Source organism: Homo sapiens, chromosome 21, assembly GCF_000001405.40.
Source record: "Homo sapiens chromosome 21, GRCh38.p14 Primary Assembly".
NCBI lineage: Eukaryota > Metazoa > Chordata > Mammalia > Primates > Hominidae > Homo > Homo sapiens.
In genome coordinates, this window is record NC_000021.9 from 43,812,604 (window position 1) to 43,830,001 (window position 17,398).

The 17,398-nt window shown below is 56.9% G+C and overlaps 1 long non-coding RNA gene across 1 annotated transcript; it reads left to right on the plus strand.

Annotated features, from left to right (window-relative positions):
• Positions 1-68: 68 nt before the first annotated feature.
• On the plus strand, positions 69-8,853 carry LOC124905033 (uncharacterized). Its single transcript, XR_007067897.1, has 2 exons — positions 69-2,392; positions 7,923-8,853. It is a non-coding gene; the product is annotated as an uncharacterized LOC124905033 (long non-coding RNA).
• Positions 8,854-17,398: the final 8,545 nt, after the last annotated feature.

Below are 17,398 nucleotides of genomic sequence, written 5' to 3' on the forward strand. Positions count from 1 at the left end.
CTTTTCCTGCCTAAATGTTTATCGAGTCCCTCCTGCATTAAGTACCCGTGCTGTGCAACAAATTACCTTGAACTTGGTGACTTCACCACCACTGCATGTCAGCGCCCAGCCGTAGACGAGGGTTTGGGAGGCATGGCTGGGCCTGCCCAGGGCTCCCTGGCTGAAGTGGGTGCTGAAGCTGCCAGGCACTGGAGGCTGGGCCTCTCGCACACTCCCTGGCTGTTGGGAGGGTGCATTCTTCTTTCTTCCTTGTCTTCTAGAGGATGCACTCTTGGCTGTAGGCCTCCCGTTTCTCTCACGGGCTATTCCTGGGGTTCCCTCAGATCCTGGAGGTGCCCACAGCCCCCTTCCCCGAGGCTCCCCCCCCCACACACTTTGCTTCTTCAGTGCCAGCAGGAGAAATTCTCCCTCATCAGCTTCCTCAGAGAAGGGCTCACCTGGTCAGGTCAGGCCCCGCACTCGGGCAGGCACAGCAGGGCGCACCCCATGACGCACCCAGAACCCGCCCCCACAGCCCCGGAGTCCTGGCCGCTGTCCCCAGCCCTACGCCCCTCTCAGAGCTTGAGCCAGGGGCAGCGCAATGGGCAGCTCCTTCCCTCTCCTGTCCCTGGAAAACTGCTCTGGGTGATTTGGCGGAGAGTGAGAGGATTCGAAAACGCTGGTACGTGGCAGGGGCTGGCAGATTCCAAAAGTGGCCCCAGACTCCCTGGACACCCAGACCATCCACCTGGTGCCACAGTACCTGATTCCCATGGCCAGGGCATTGGGGAGCCAGGCAGGGGCAGGGGAGGGGCGTTCCAGGTCCTCCCTCCTTGCCTTGACCTACATCCCAGGTGACCCAGCGAGGCCCAGGCCCCCGCCCAGTCTGCCCCGCCTCACAGTCAGGCTTCATCCTCATCCCCAGCAGCCCCTGGGCCCCCCATGTCACCCTCAGGGCACTTGAGGGCAGGGTCAGGCCAGACCAAGTGTGGGGCCTGGCCAGGAGCAGGTGGTGCCGGGGAATGAGTATAGGGCTTATGGTGCCGTGGCCTGTCTGCTGCCTGGTCTGTCCTAAGGCCAGTGGCCCTGTCCCTAGGCTGTGGGGCACAGGTCCCATTCCCCGGGGGAGTGAAGGGCTCAGGCAGCAGGCAGCCCCGTCCCCTCCCCTAGGGTGTGCCTGGGTGACTCCTGGGCTGGCCGACTGGGAGCTAGCCTGAGTGTAGGTTTTGAGTCTGAGCACCAGGTCCTCACCCTGCCCCTGGCACCCCTTGGGCACCTCCTGGCACCCTGTCTGCTTTGTGCCACTTGCCCTGGGGTCTGTCCCTCCCTTGGACAGACAACAGTGTCCTACTTTTTTTTTTTTTTTTTGAGAGAGAGAGTCTCGCTCTGTCGCCCAGGCTGGAGTGCAATGGCATGATCTCGGCTCACTGCAACCTCCACCTCCTGGGTTCAAGCGATTCTCCTGCCTCAGCCTCCTGAGTAGCTGGGATTACAGGCACACGCCACCATGCCCAGCTAATTTTTATATTTTTAGTAGAGACGGTTTCACCACGTTGGCCAGGCTGGTCTCCAACTCCTGACCTCATGATCTGCCCGCCTTGGCCTCCCAAAGTGCTGGGACTACAGGCGTGAGCCACTGCGCCCGACCCATAATGTCCTACTCTTGCCTGAAGGCTCTGAGCCGTTCGGGTCTCCTGGACACGGAGAAGCCACAGCCCAGTGCCACCTGTCCTTTTCTCTCCGCTGCTCACAGGGGCCGAGGTCTGCACACCCATGGCTGCCCCAGGCTGCCCGCCAGGAGCTGCCTTTTCCCTGGCCAGGCTGTTTCTCAGCCCTGCGGTTCCCAAGGAAACGGGCTTCCAGGCAAGCCCGGGTGGAGTTCACTTTTCTCCCAATTGGAATTCGGCTGAATTGAATCCAGCCTCTGCTCCCCTCACCTCCGCATCCTGAATTTCTGCTCCCAGCTCCCTCGGCCTGGGTCAGGTTGGGTGGGTGGTGACACCGTATTCTGGCCCTTGGGGTTTAGGTCAGAGGTGCTGGGGCCTGTGTGGGGTGATCATGGCACTCTGCGGAGAGGGAGGGAGCCAGGCCAGGAGGTCGGCTTGGCTGGAGACAGCCTGGTCCCACTGGGAGCCCTGGAGCACCTGGAGTTGGGCTGGCTGGGGCAGGAAGGTTGTCTTTTGGGCACCCCTCCAACCCGTCAATCAGCCGTGGGCTGCCCTTCCATTGAGATGTGGGGAAAACCTTGATGAGGTTTGTTCAAGGTGAATGTTCGTGAGGTGTGAGCCACTGCGCCTGGCACATGATGTCCTACTCCTGCCTCTCGCCTCAGGCAAGGGTCCGCAACAGCCGGGCTCAGCCTCTGTTTTGGAGGGAGGAAGGAAGGAAGCAGGAAGACTACCTGAAGCCCCCAGTAAGTGCAGTGGAGAAGATAGAGCAAGGTGAAGGGTTGGCCGTGTGGAGGGCGAGTGTGCGGTCAGGGGAGGGCTTCTTTGGGCAAATATTTGACAGAGGCAAAGCCGGGAGCCAAGTGGATATTTGGGGCAGAGTGGGGTTGGCGGCAGGAGTAGCCAGTGCCAAGGCCCTGCAGGGGTGCACGGGTGTGTAGACCGGTGAGAGGGCGTGGCAGCAGGGGAAAGGGGGGTGGGCGGGGGGGAGGGGGGGCGACCGGTGAGAGGGCGTGGCTGCAGGGGAAAGGTGGGTGGGCGGGGCGGGAGGCGACCGGTGAGAGGGCGTGGCTGCAGGGGAAAGGTGGGTGGGCGGGGCGGGAGGCGGCCGGTGAGGGGGCGTGGCTGCAGGGGAAAGGGGGGTGGGCGGGGCAGGGGGGCGGCGGGGAGAACAAGTGGCCCCATCCTTTGAGGCCGCTGTGTGAGTCTGCTCTGGTGGCCGTGACAAAGGACCACAGGCTGGGGCTTCAGCAACCCACATAGATTCTCCCACAGTCCCGGAGGCTGGGGCCCGAGGCCAGGGTGCAGTGGGGCTGGCTCCTGAGGCCTCTCTCCTGGGCTGGCACCTGGCGCCTCCTCCCCGTGTCCTCACAGGGCCGTTTTCCTGTGTGTCTGTGTCCTCATTGCCTCTTATAAAAACACAGGTAGGTTGGGTGGGGTCCACCCAAATAGCCTTATTTTAACTTAAAAAACTTTTCATGTTCTGGCTTCTCAATTATTTTTTTTTAATTAAGGTATTTGTGACACTTAAAGATCATATATTTAAGATACAATTTGCTGATTTACAATCTAATTTTAATCTAATCTCCTCTCTTAAGACCCTACCTCCAAATACAGTCACAGCTGGGATCCTGGGGGAGTTAAGACTCCCACGTTCGGATTTTTGAGGGACACAGTTTGGCCCGTGACAGTCCCTTGCTGTCTGAGGGACACAGTTCGGCCCGTGACAGTCTCTGCTGTCTGAGGGACACCGACCCCCTGTGCGTTTCCTGTCTCCAGCTGCCTGTGTCGGTCACACATGTTATTCTCACGCGCTGGCCCTGGTCACCTGGTCCCCTCCGCACCCTGGGCACATGCCGGCCTTGGTCACCAGGTCCCTTCCGCACCCTGGGCCGTGCCGCACTTGGGTGGCATTTTGGGTGGAGCAGCCCCGGCCCCTGCCTCCCTCTCCTGCTGAGGGTTAACGGGGCCTGATCTCTGGGTGAGCTGCTGTGCCCTGTGCACTTCCGCCTCCAGGACCCTCAGCCACCACCAGGGCACAGCCCAGCTCAGCCAGGTGGTGAACGGACACAGGAGCTACTGGGGAGATTTGGCCCCAGGTCAGGTCCTGGCCTTGGGCGTGTGGCCCTTGTGGGGCCAGAAAACCTGTCCCTACCGCCCAGCAGGTGCTAGGGGATGACATAGCCCCTCCTGGACATAGGCCCTCCTGCCACTCTCCCCCTGACCAGGAAGTCACCCCCAACTGCCCCTCTGACACTTTCCCTGTGAGAGGCAACCAGGCACCCCACAAAGCCTGCTGTGGGTTCTCCCAGACCCAGGCTGGAGGGACTGACCCATCAGCCACCTCCCCTCCACCCCTCCCCAACCCCCCTGGCCCCAGACAGCCTCTGTCCACGAGGGGTGTGCCCCCGGAGCTGGCCACAGCCCCAGCAGGGACGGCAGCTCTGTGGGGCTGGTGGGGGGTGCCTCTGCAGGGCACAGGTGGACAAGAGGCCTCTCCTGCATGGCCTGCAGGAGGCCCAGCCTAGGAGGAGGGCTGAGGGCACCAAACGAGGCAAAGCCTGGGGGACCATGGTTGGGGTGGCCAAGGAAAGAAGGGGGGCAGCAGAGAGCGCCATCTGCTGCAGGCTGAGCTCAGGACGGAGGTCTGGGCACACTTGGCTTGGGGCAGGTGGCCGCCTTGTGTGGGTCGAGGAGGTGCAACCTGACCTGTGACCCAGTCCCTGGTTCTGAGGTCACAGCGAGGCCACTGGAGACCTCAACTGGCCGGGCCGTTCGCCGTGCAGGGTGGCTGCAGAGACCCGCTCAGCAGGTGCCCACTGTCACCCGGCCGGAACCAGCAGGCAGGCGTGGCAGGACAGACCACAGGGAGGATGCTGGAGGGGCCAGGGAAGCACATTTAGCACACTTGGGGCTGCCTGTGGTCTGACGCCCCAGAGGGTGACACCTTTCGAGGCTCGAAGGCAGCTCAGGGCAGCTCCTCCCACACAAAGGCCTCCTCTGGGCTGTGAGGGTCAGTGTTTCTCCTGGGGCCCAGCCCTGGGGCCTCTTTGCATGCCCTCTGGGTGCCGGCTCAGGAGGGCACTGGCCCCAGGCCTGGCTCCGCCCCAGAAACCGGGTGGCTGTGTGTTAGCTGGGCAGTGGCTTCTGAGGGGCTGTACCAGGAGGCTCAGTGGGCATCCCCAGGGCTTCTCCTCAGTGCTGTGGTCCCACCCTAGACTGGGTAGCCAGCCTGGCGCCCTCCTCCCACATAGTGTCACAGACAGGCCCACCGACCCTGTGGGCTTGGGGTGGGACAGCCAGGATCCCAGTCTCGGCAAGGCCTGGTACGGTGGGCGTCTCAGCTGCAGCCAGCATTGTGTCCGCCCCCTCCGCGAGGCAGTGTGTTTGTGATCAGAGCAGGAGTGTAGCCTGCTGGTTTCGGTACACGTAGAATGCGTGCCAGTGCACGCTAGCAGCATCTGTTGTGTTCCTTGTGCGGCAGCTCCATGCCATGGCCAAGGTCTCAGTCTCTGTCCTGCTGATTGCTGGAGCAGGTGTGGTGGCCCATGTCCGAGGACGGCTGTGTCCTGGAGAGGTGGGCAGGGGCTGGGTTCATCTGCCTCTGGAGCCTGCTGGCAGCCTCCTCCCGGGTTTCATGGCTGGCAATCATGAAAGCTGCCTCGATGGTGGCGGGGCCCTGTTGATGTCAGATTGGCGTGGCCTCCTGAGAGTTCCTCCTGTGGGTGTGCGCAGGGCTTGCATGTGCAGGAAATGGACTCACCCTGGAGCTGGGCCCCCAGGGGCTGCCCCGGGCCTGGGTGGGGGCCGTGCCCTTGTCTGTCCGTCTCTCTGTCAGTCTGGCTTCTTCCTCTCCAACTCTACCTCTTTTGGGGTCTCCTTTCTGCTCTGTGTCACCCCGGATAGCTTCTCCAGTGTGGAAGCTTTAACTTTCTGTTGTGTGTGTTTTTTGTTTTTGTTTTTGTTTTTTTTTTAGATAGGGTCTTTCTCCATTGCCCAGGCTGGAGTGCAGTGGCGCAATCTCAGCTTACTGCAGCCTCAACCTCCTGGACTCAAGCGATTCTCCAGCCTTAGCCTCCTGAGTAGCTAGGATTACAGGTGCACACTGCAATGCCCAGCTAATTAAAACCTTTTTTTTTTTTTTTTTTGTAGAGATTGTGGTCTCACAATGTTGCCTAGGCTGGTCTCAAACTCCTGAGCTTATGTGATCCTCCTGCCTTGGCCTCCCAAAGTGCTGAGATTCCAGGTGCACACAAACGCACACAAGCACACATATGCACATAGACACACAAGCAGATGCAGACACACACAGACACATACATGCATGCAAACACACATACACGTGCACACACTCATACACAAGTCCACACAGGCACTTCCTGTGATCTCCAAGCCTGAGGCTTTATGCTTGGTGGGTGGGGTCTGCCTCCACCCTCTGTCCAGACCAAGGACCCCCTCAGCCTGCAGAGCAGTGCTGCAGCTTCGGGAATGTGCTGTGTGAGCTCCCTTCTGTCTTAGACCCCCTCTTCCCTCTGAGCTCTGCGGTTGGAAGGTGGAACTTCTCCTCCTCCTATTTTCCTCCCCAACATTCACTGCCTTGTCTTTTGTTCTGCTTTCTGGGAGATGTTCTTGAATGTCCGAACTTCCTCCTGCATTTTAAATTTCTGCCCTCCCAGGTTTCATTTCCAAGAGCTCATTTCTGCTCTCTGCTTGTTCTTTTTTTACAGCTTCCTGTTCCTGTTTCATGAGTGCAATGTCTTTTTTTCTTCATCTTTCCTGCTGTGGTGGGGTTTTCCAGCAGGAAAACTCAGAGCTGGGTGGGAGGGCTCTGCCATGGTTCGTGAGTTTGCTCCCCTTTCCCCATGGGCTGTGTTGGTTGAAAAGAACTCTCTCCCTCCCCCAACTCCTCGTCAAATTCAAATGCTCACAGGGTCTCCAATATTCAGCGACCTTTCATGGATTAAATTCTGAGCCATTCTTTTGCCCCTAGAAGGTTGTCCTCTATAGAATAGCGTAAAACTGTTAGGAGATTGTTAGAACAAAGTCTTGCAGGCACCTTCACTTGGCAGAAGAATCGATCAAACTCCATTTAGAAGGGAGCTCATTGAAGGGGCCTTGGTTTCCCGTTTCCTTTGTAACCAAGACAGTTCTTTCCAGAGGGAGTAGATTTGGCTTGACCCTGCATCTCAGCCCAGGTTCCCAGTGGCCACATGCCAACATTTGATGGGGGTGGGGAGGTGCAGTCCCAGGGGAGAGAGGAGGGGGGGGTGGGGAGAAGGGGAGGGAGGGAGAGCAGGCTGTGGCTCTGCAGTCCTGAGCTGGCCTCAGCCTTCAGAGAGGACAGTGGACATCCTGGAGAGGCCACGGGGAGCCACTGCATCCTGGAAGAGTTGAGTGTGGTAGCCTGAGCCCTGGCCTTGATTCTGCGACCTCGGGTGTGAACTCACCAGGTAGAAGACGGGGACGCTGGCAGGGACGCAGACCGTGCCTGAGCCGGCCTTCCTGTGTGGGCCCAGATACCGGCTCAGGTCCCACCTCCCCTGGTGCTGTCCACACCAGGACAGCAGAAGCCTCATGCCTGGTCCCCAGGGATACGGTTCTGAATCAAAACCTCTCACGGCACATCGAATTGAGCCTGACCAACGCCTGGGTCCTGGCAGTGGAGGCTGGGAGGAGAGTGTCTGGGATTCTGTCCGGGGAGGCAGGGCTGTCACTGTGGGGAGCTATGAACATGGATGGGGCTTGCTGAAGAGACTCAAGCAGCTCGGGGGTCAGAACAGCTCCGAGAACCACGTCCTCCTCCCACTTTGGGATCTGGGCCAAGTCTCCCTGCCTGTCTGGGCCTTGGTTCCCTCCTCTGTAAGTGTGTGGAGGACAAGGTGACCTCTAAGACCTGTCCAGTTCTGGGGTCCCACCCCTGAGGACTTTGCAGCCTGGGCTGGCAGCCCTGAATGATACGGGGGACACCTGCAGGGGCCGCACCCCTGCATAGACTGCAGTTAATTCTGGGTTAAGCAAAGCCTGTGTTTCCCACACGGGCCCAGCTTCTGATGTCTGGAAAGATGAGGACCCGCACTTGCTTCCATCAGCAGCATGTCCTGTGCACACGAAGGTTGCACCGTCCTAAAAACACCACTGCGATGACGATCTGAGCTTTTAAGTGTCTCCTGCTGTCTGCAGCACGTTGAGCAGAACACCCTCCAAATTCCACCTTATTTGGAATAAGGGTCTTTGCAGGTGTAATTAATTGAGAGTCTGTGATCATCCTGGTTTTAGGGTGGGCCCTAAATCCAATGACTGGTGTCCTTATGAGAAGAGGAGAGGCCACAGAGGGACACATGGAGAAGGCCATGGACGGCAGAGGCAGGGGTCAAGGTGACACAGCCACAGCCGAGGGACGCCTAGAGTCACCCGAAGCGGGGAGGGGCAGGAAGGATCCTCCTTGGAGCCTTCGGAAGGAGCGGGGCCCTGCCCACACCTTGGTTTCAGCCTTCTGGACATCAGAACTTCGAGGGAATCCTTTTCTGTTACTTCGAGCCACCAGGTTTGTGTAATTCGCTACTACGGCAGTCACAGGAACTCAGGCACCATTTCTCTTTTTTTTTTTTTTTGACATGGACTCTCACTCTGTCACCAGGCTGGAGTGCAGTGGCGCCATCTCAGCTCACTGCAACCTCTGCCTCCCGGGTTCAAGCGATTCTCCCGTCTCAGCCTCCTGAGTAGCTGGGGCTACAGCCGCGCGCCTCCCTGCCAGCTAATTTTTGTATTTTTAGCGGAGACCGGGTTTCACCATGTTGGCCAGGATGGTCTCGATCTCTTGACCTCGTGATCCGCCCGCCTTGGCCTCCCAAAGTGCTGGGATTACAAGCGTGACCCATCACTCCCGGCCTCTCTTTTTGAAAAGAAGTGACCAACACATTTTATGAGATAATGTAATCTCAACATCAAAAAAATGAGGACATTACAAGAAAGGATAATTACTGGCCAATCTTAATTATTAGAAAAATACTTTTCAAAACAGCAAAGAAAATATTAGCAAAATTAATCAAGTAATGGATTTTGTCCCAGGAACTCAGGTTTAGTAAAACATTACAAAAGGTACCCAGATAATGCACCAGTCTCACCAGTTAAAGGAGAAAAGACATGTGCCTGTATCCGCTGGTTCATAGCTGATATTCAATAAAATTCAACAAAGCAATGACCTCAACAGGAGAAAGATTTTCTTCCAAAAATCTACAGAAAATGCTTGATGAAAAAAAAAAAAAAAGAATTTTTTTTTTAAGTGATGGGGTCCTCTCCCTCTCCCTCTCCCTCTCCCTCTCCCTCTCCCTCTCCCTCTCCCTCTCCACGGTCTCCCTCTCTCTCCACGGTCTCCGTCTGATGCTGAGCCCAGGCTGGACTGTACTGCCGCCATCTCGGCTCACTGCAACCTCCCTGCCTGATTCTCCTGCCTCAGCCTGCCGAGTGCCTGGGATTGCAGGCGCGCGCCGCCACGCCTGACTGGTTTTCGTATTTTTTGGTGGAGACAGGGTTTCGCCGTGTTGGCCGGGCTGGTCTCCAGCTCCTGACCGCAAGTGATCTGCCTGCCTCGGCCTCCGGAGGTGCCGGGATTGCAGACGGAGTCTCGCTCACTCAGTGCTCAATGTTGCCCAGGCTGGAGTGCAGTGGCGTGATCTCGGCTCGCTACAACCTCCACCTCCCAGCCACCTGCCTTGGCCTTCCAAAGTGCTGAGATTGTAGCCTCTGCCTGGCCGCCACCCTGTCTGGGAAGTGAGGAGCGTCTCTGCCTGGCCGTCCATCGTCTGGGATGTGAGGAGCCCCTCTGCCCGGCCGCCCAGTCTGGGAAGTGAGGAGCGCCTCTTCCCGGCCGCCATCCCGTCTAGGAAGTGAGAAGTGTCTCTGCCCGGCCGCCCATCGTCTGGGATGTGGGGAGCGCCTCTGCCCCACCGCCCTGTCTGGGATGTGGGGAGCGCCTCTGCCCGGCTGCGACCCCGTCTGGGAACTGAAGAGTGTCTCTGCCCGACTGCCACCCCGTCTGGGAGGTGAGGAGTGTCTATGCCCGGCCGCCCCGTCTGAGAAGTGAGGAGCCCCTCCGCCTGGCAGCTGCCCCGTCTGGGAAGTGAGGAGCCCCTCCGCCCGGCAGCCGCCCCGTCCAGGAGGTGGGGGGCAGCCCCCGCCCGGCCAGCCGCCCCATACGGGAGGTGGGGGGTGCCTCTGCCTGGCCGCCCCGTCTGGGAAGTGAGGAGCCCCTCTGCCCGACCACCACCCCGTCTGGGAGGTGTACCCAACAGCTCATTGAGAAGGGGCCATGATGACGATGGCGGTTTTGTCGAAAAGAAAAGGGGGAAATATGGGGAAAAGAAAGAGAAATCAGATTGTTACTGTGTCTGTGTAGAAAGAAGTAGACATAGGAGACTCCATTTTGTTCTGTACTAAGAAAAATTATTCTGCCTTGGGATGCTGTTAATCTATGACCTTACCCCCAACCCCGTGCTCTCTGAAACATGTGCTGTGTCCACTCAGGGTTAAATGGATTAAGGGCGGTGCAAGATGTGCTTTGTTAAACAGATGCTTGAAGGCAGCATGCTCCTTAAGAGTCATCACCACTCCCTAATCTCAAGTACCCAGGGACACAAACACTGCGGAAGGCCGCAGGGTCCTCTGCCTAGGAAAACCAGAGACCTCTGTTCACATGTTTATCTGCTGACCTTCCCTCCACTATTGTCCTATGACCCTGCCAAATCCCCGTCTCCGAGAAACACCCAAGAATGATCAATAAATACTAAAAAAAAATAAAAAAATAAAAAAAAGAAAATGAAGGATGGAGCCATGAGCTGAGGAATGTAGGCAGCCTCTAGAATATAGAAAAAGCAATGAAACTGATTCTGTCCTATAGCCTCCAGAAGGAACATAACCCTATTGACACCCTGATTTCAGCCCAGTAGTTGTGATTTTGGATTTCTCACCTCCAGAACTATAAGATAATAAATTCATGTTGTTTTAAGCTAAAAAAAAAAAAAGAGATGGGGTCTTGCGCCGGGCGTGGTGGCTCACGCCTGTAATGCCAGCACTTCGGGAGGCCAAGGCGGGCGGATCACGAGGTCAGGAGATTGAGACCATCCTGGCTAACACGGTGAAACCCCGTCTCCATTAAACATACAAAAAATTAGCCGGGCGTGGTAGCAGGCGCCTGTAGTCCCAGCTACTCGGGAGGCTGAGGCAGGAGAATGGTGTGAACCCGGGAGGCAGAGCTTGCAGTAAGCCGAGATTGCACCACTGCACTCCAGCCTGGGCAACAGAGCGAGACTCCATCTCAAAAAAAAAAAAAAAAAAGATGGGGTCTTGCTATGTTGCCCAGGCTGAACTCAAACTCCTGAGCTCAAGTGATCCTCCAGCCTCAGCTTCCGAGTAGCTGGGATCACAGGCGTGGGCCCCCGTGCCCGGCTCAGAGGGGCTTCTTGTAAGTTAGGAGCAAGTCCAGGCCTTCCCTCCAGATGTGGTTGAGCTGGAGCTCGGACCCACTGCCCCACGGGACCCCGGCCTCAGACCCAGGTGGCTTTGGCTACTCATCTTCAAGGCCCCAAAGCTCCTATTTCTGCTCCTTTTTATTTATTTACTTATTTTTTTGAGACAGGATGTCACTCTGTGGCCCAGGCTGGAGTGCAGTGGTGCGATTATAGCTCACTGCAGCCTCGACCTCCCGGGCTCAGGTGATCCTCCCGCCTCAGCCTCCCGAGCAGCTGGGACCCCAGGCGCAGCCACAGTATACCGGCCTCTGCTCTCTTCCATACAAGATGGAAGCAGCCGGGAGTGACACCTGCCCAAGTCCTCGTAGGTCTCCTCAGGTCCTGTTGGGTCGTCAGGGCTGAGGTCGGCTGAGGGTTGGGTGTTCACAGGCTGATTTTAGGCTGGGCCTGCTGACCACAGGGCCTGGGAGTGAACCCCATGTCCCCGAGGCCTCTTCCCTGGTCTCCATCCTATCCTCAGGTAACCTTGGCCTCTGCTTCATCTTGGATAAACTGTGGCCCCACAGAGGCCTCAGAAAGCAAAACCCTGCCCCTGGGAGGTTCTCGTCCCATTTCAGCTCCTTTTCTAATTCGGTGGTGAGACAGCAAAGCTGAGCCTAGAGTGGCTGTGCAGACAGGCCCCCAGCCAAAGGCCCTGGGTCTTCCAGCAGCTTTCGTTGTCACCGGGACCTGGCCTGCTCCCAAGGTTCCCGAGAGCAGTGGGGCTGTCCCCCACACCCAGGTCCCATCAGCGAGGCTGGGGGCTCCTCTCCCCTCGCTGATGGACGGGGAAGCCAGGCTCGCTTTCCTTCCGGGTCCTCGATTCTCGCTGGATCAACAGTGTCACAAGTCAGACTCCTTAAAACTGCTTTCCAAGGGAACCCAAAATATCTGTTTCTAGAAGTGTTGGCATTGAAGAGCTGGAGATGACTCACAGCCCAGCCAGTGTCTCCTCTTCCACACCCACACTGCTGGGTCTATTTCTAGACAGCTTGGTTGTGTGTGGAGTTCAGGGAACCTGGATCTTCCAGCATCTTGTCTTAACTGGAACGTTCCATCAGTGGTTCTGTCCAGAGTATCTAGCGAGCTGTTTACAGCCACTCCCCTGAAGCTCAGAGGCAATGATGAGCCCTCCCAGTGATCAAAGACAAAGTCACTTATGTTCCACATCATTGCCCCTTGCATTGATAGGTGTTTAAGTGCATCCTGGAGGTTTTCTGAGGCAGGCAGTTGGCGTATGGAAGTGGTCATCATGGAAGTCACACTCGTGTTTGTGCTGCTTTCAGGAGGCCTTCGTCCCAAGCCCTGCACCCCACCCTGGCCATAATGCTTAGTGTCACCCCCATCCCTGGGGCAGGAAGCCAAGGGCCAGAGTAGCCCCTGCCTGTGAGCAGTGAGGGGCTGTCCAGTGCTTTCATTCAATCCATCCCAGTTTTCTCGTCAACAAAGTGAGGATGAGAATGCCTCAGAATCACAATGCTTACCTTTCAGGGTTGTTTTGAGGAGTAAGAGATGACACACGAGCAGGGTGCACACAGCAGGCACTCCATGTGTGCAGGGATCAGCGTGCACACAGCAGGCACTCCATGTGTGCAGGTCCCTCCTCCTCCTGGATGTTTATCAAGCGCCTCCCTGACAGTGCCCCGTGTTCGCTGCAGGCGCCGTGCCCAATGGGGAGAGGCCCCTGGATCGAGTCCGGGTGGGTGCGGCTCCACCTCTTCCAGCTCCAGACCAGGAAGAGCCTCTCAAGCTGCTTTTCAGGGCCATGTGGAACGGAGGCTGGTGCCACTGTCTGATGGCTCAATGGCTGCAGACCATCGGCTATGTCTAAATCCATAAAAGTCCTAAATGAGCTAACAAACCATTCATGAGATCTTTTCCATCCTCCTACTGGACACGCGTATTTCCACGAAGACCCGGAAGGCCCGTTAGAACTCGGAAACGGGCTGCTCTAGGTTGGGTTCTGGAAGATGGCGTCAGGAGCTCCGGCCTCAGCCCCAGCCTGCAGCCTCCTCTTCCTAGCCAGGACCCTCCGGCACCACCACAGCCCTCAGCAAATAGCTGTCCTTGGCTGCCCCTCGGGCCTGGGGTGGTCCCCTTGGAGGAAGGACCTGGGAGAGGCTCATGCAGACCCCAGAGGCCGGCTGGGGTCTTTGGGCAGAGAAATCTCTGTCTGGGGCCCTGGAATGTGGTCTAGAAGGTGAGGGTGGGGGCCTCTGGGCGGAAGTTCCCTGGGCCCTGCGACCGCCCTGCCCTCCGGGATGGGGGTCCCTCTCACGTGTCCTCTCACAGCCTGGGTCTCCAGGCCCCGCCATGGGGAGATCAGCTTGGCAAAGGCACACCCAGCGCTGCACCTCCTGGCCCCCGGAGCTTCACCTGGAGGTTAGGGCAGAACTTTGTCCATCAGGAACTGGGGGTTCAGCCGTCTCCACCCCTCCCCATCCTGCCCTGGGAGCAGCTGTCCCCAGGCTCAGGGGCTCCTTTGGCCTCTTGGCAGGGTTCTCAGGGGCACCAGCAGTGAGCTGCCCGCAGTACCCAGTGGTGCCCAGCAGGGAGGTGGCCCCTGCCACCCACTGGCTTACTTGGCCACAGTGAGATGTCCCCATGCAGGATCCCGCACTAGCTCGGCTTGCTGAGAACCCGGCCAAGGCAGGTATCAAATACGGTAACCCGAGAAGAGAGGAATTTCGACAGCCCCGTACACAAGGAGAGCATGATCCAGCACCCGGCGCCAGGTCTGCTCTGACGGCACGGCCAGAACAGCGGGTCCCGCACGTTCCCGCTCATGGAAATCCAGCGCCCAGCGCCACATCTCTGACTGCAGGGCCAGGACGGTGGGTCCCGCACGTTCCCGCTCATGTGGAAAGGCTACACCACTTAGTAGAAGAGGGTTTTATCACAGAAGCTAGTGCTAAGGGGACTGCAGCGTGACCGCCATCCCTCATCTTGTTTGCTCACTGTGTGCGCCAGCACAGACCCTGCCGACCCGCTGTGGACACACTGAGGAAGGGGCGTGGGGAGGCCGGAGGAGACAGGAGCCCTCCCACCACGCCCCTCCCCTGGCACAGGGCTGCATTTGCCCTCAGCCTCCAACTTAGGGCTGCACAGAGGGGCAGAACTGGGGGTGCTGAGGTCCAGGATTGGGAGGGGCTTAAAGCCTGAGAGGAGAAGAGAAGGAGAAGCAGCAAATTAGCACAAGGTGGCCCAGGAAGGGGACCAGGAAGTGACCGTGTGAGGTGGCCGTGTCCACCCACTGCTAGGGTCAGATCCCTGGGCCGGATCCTGAGCTGCCCTCTGGAGAAGGCAGCCCTCCAGGCCTAGGCATCCCTGGGCTTCCCCAGGGCGAGCAGAAGCAGCTGGGAAGCCTGTCCCACGGGAGGGACATCACAGGGCCCTTAAGCCGAGAGAGATGCATCTGGGTGTGGGGGGTATGGGGTGGGGTCTCGGTTGAGCAGCAGTTCAGGGAGGGCCGCAGCAAGCTCAGCCGGCACCAGCTACGCGGGAGGCTGAGACAGAAAGAATGAGTCGCTGGAACCTGGGAGGCAGAGGCTGCAGTGAGCCAAGATCGCGTCATTGCACTCCAGCCTGGGCGACAGAACAGTTCTCCGTCTCAAAAAAAAAAAAAAAATTTTACAGTGATTGGCTGGGTGCGGTGACTCATGCCTGTAATCCCAGCACTTTGGGAGGCTAAGGCGGGCAGATCGCTTGATCCCAGGAGTTCGAGACTAGCCTGGGCATCATAGCAAGACCCCATCTCTACCAAAAAAAAAAAAAAAATACAAAAATTAGGCAGGTGTGGTGGCATTCATCTGTGGTCTCAGCTACTCTAGAGGCTTAGGTGTAAGGATGGCTTGAGCCTGGGAGGCAGAGGTTGCAGTGAGCTGAGATAGTACCACTGCACTCCAGCCTGGGCACGACAGAGTCAGACCCTGTCTCAATTTAAAACATTATTAAAAACAAAACAAAAAAATACAGTGATGACCGGGCGTGGTGGCTCACGCCTGTAATCCCAGCACTTTGGGAGGCTGAGGTGGGCAGATCATTTGAGGTCAAGAGTTCGAGAACAGCCTGGCCAATGTGGTGAAACCCCGTCTCTACTAAAAATACAAAAATTAGCTGGGTGTGGTGGCTCATGCCTATAATCCCAGCTACTTGGGAGGCTGAGGCAGGCAGATCATTTGAGCCCAGTGGTTCAAGACCAGCCTGGGCCAACAGCAAGACCTCAACTCTACAAAAAATATAAAAATTAGGCCAGGTGCTGTGGCTGGCTGGGCATGGTGGCTCACACCTGTAATCCCAGCACATTGGGAGGCCGAAGTGGGTGGATCAGCTGAAGTCAGGCACTCAAGACCAGCCTGGCCAACATGGTGAAACCCCGTCTCTACTAAAAATACAAAAATTAGCTGGGCGTGGTGGCGCATACCTGTAATCCCAGCTACTCGGGAGGCGGAGGCTGGAGTCTCCCTTGAACCTGGGAAGTGGAGGTTGCGGTGAGCCGAGATGAAACCACTACACTCCAGAGAGTGTGACTCTGTCTCAAAAAAAGAACAAAAGAAAGGACACAGCAAGAACCATAAAAGAAAATTGGATATATTGGACTTCATCAAAATTGAAAAGTTCTGCTTATTAAGAGACATCATTACAAAATAAATAGACAAGCCATAGACTGAGAGAAAAATATTTGTAAACTACACATTTGTCAATAAAAAGAAAAACAAGGCAACTAAAAATGGGCAAACAATCTGAACAGGCACGTCACGAAAGATGGCACACAGATGGCCAATAAGCACGCGAAACAGTGCTTGACATCATCAGACACTGAGGAAATAAAAGTTAAAACCACATGAGATATGTCATCAGAAAGGCTAAAGCTAAAATGATGGGGTGTTTAGCTGTGGTGGAGGCCCCTGGAATCCCTGCTGCACACTGCAGGTGGGTGTGTAAATGGTACAATCCCTTTGATACAAGATCTGGCAATTTCTTATAAAGCTAAATATACAACTACCCTATAACCTAGCAACTGCTCTACTGAATTTTTATGGAGAGATGGGGCATGGTGGCGTGTGCCTGTAATCCCAGGCTTGAGGCAGGAGAATCACTTGAACCCAGGAGGTGGAGGTTGCAGTGAGCCGAGATCACACCAGCCTGGGTGAAAGAGCAAGACCTTGTCTCAAAAAACAAAGAAACCACAAACAACGCCCCCCCCCACCCCCAAAACACCTGTACTCAAGTGTCAAGATTTGATAAAACTGATACTTCCAGGCCATCAAGCACGTCAGGTGTTTGGTGATGAAGGATCCGATGTCCATTAGTAGAGCTTGGGGCCATGGCCTTGATTTGTGCTAAGACACCAGCAGTTTAAAAGCACACTGTGGTAAAATACACATTTACCATCCTGCCCATGTTTAGGGGTCCCATTCGGTGGCACTAAGAGCACCCACATTGCTGTGCAACTTCACCACCCCGGAGCTGCTTCAGCTTTCCAAACTGGAACTCCGTCCCCATGAAACACTCCCTCCCCACCCCCCGCCAGCACCTACGCTTCACCTGCTGTCTGTGTGGGTCAGACTCCTCTAGGGACCTAAGTGGGGTCACACAGCATTTGGCTCTCGTGCCTGGCTTCTTTGAGCGTAATGTCCCCACATGTCAGAATTGCCGGCACCCCCGGCTTTACCTGCCATTGCTTCTGTACCATCGACAGTGCAAATGTGAGTCCCATAACAAAACATCTCGAGGAACATCTCAGTCTTGCCATGAAAATAGTTCGGATCTCCCAGACCCCCCAGGGCATCAGATGAGTCCACACAGGAGAACCCCACACCCCGTGGCCTCTACCCGCAGACACAACTGAGGTTATCACCACACTTCTACTCAAACGGGAACATTCTCCACAAAGCCACAGTGCTGGCGCCACACTGAGGAAATTCACAGCAGTGTCTTTCTGTTGGAGCCCAATATCCAGTCCACACTCAGGCTCCCAGCTGAGCCAGCGTGTCACACGCGGTGTTCTTCCAAACCAGCGCCAAGACTCACGCTCTCCTTGGCCGCGGGTTTCTTGTCCCTGTTGTGGCAGAAGCCCCCAGCCCTCCCCACTTTTCCTCCTCCGTGACAGTTTGAGGACACTGACTCGGAAGAGAAGGCACACCCAGGGCACAGCCCTCCCCAGTGCTCCTGAAACAGGCAGTGCTGTCTACAGCAGGCGTCTCGGCAGCGTGGAGACAGAAGTCACCTGGCTGCCGGCTTCCA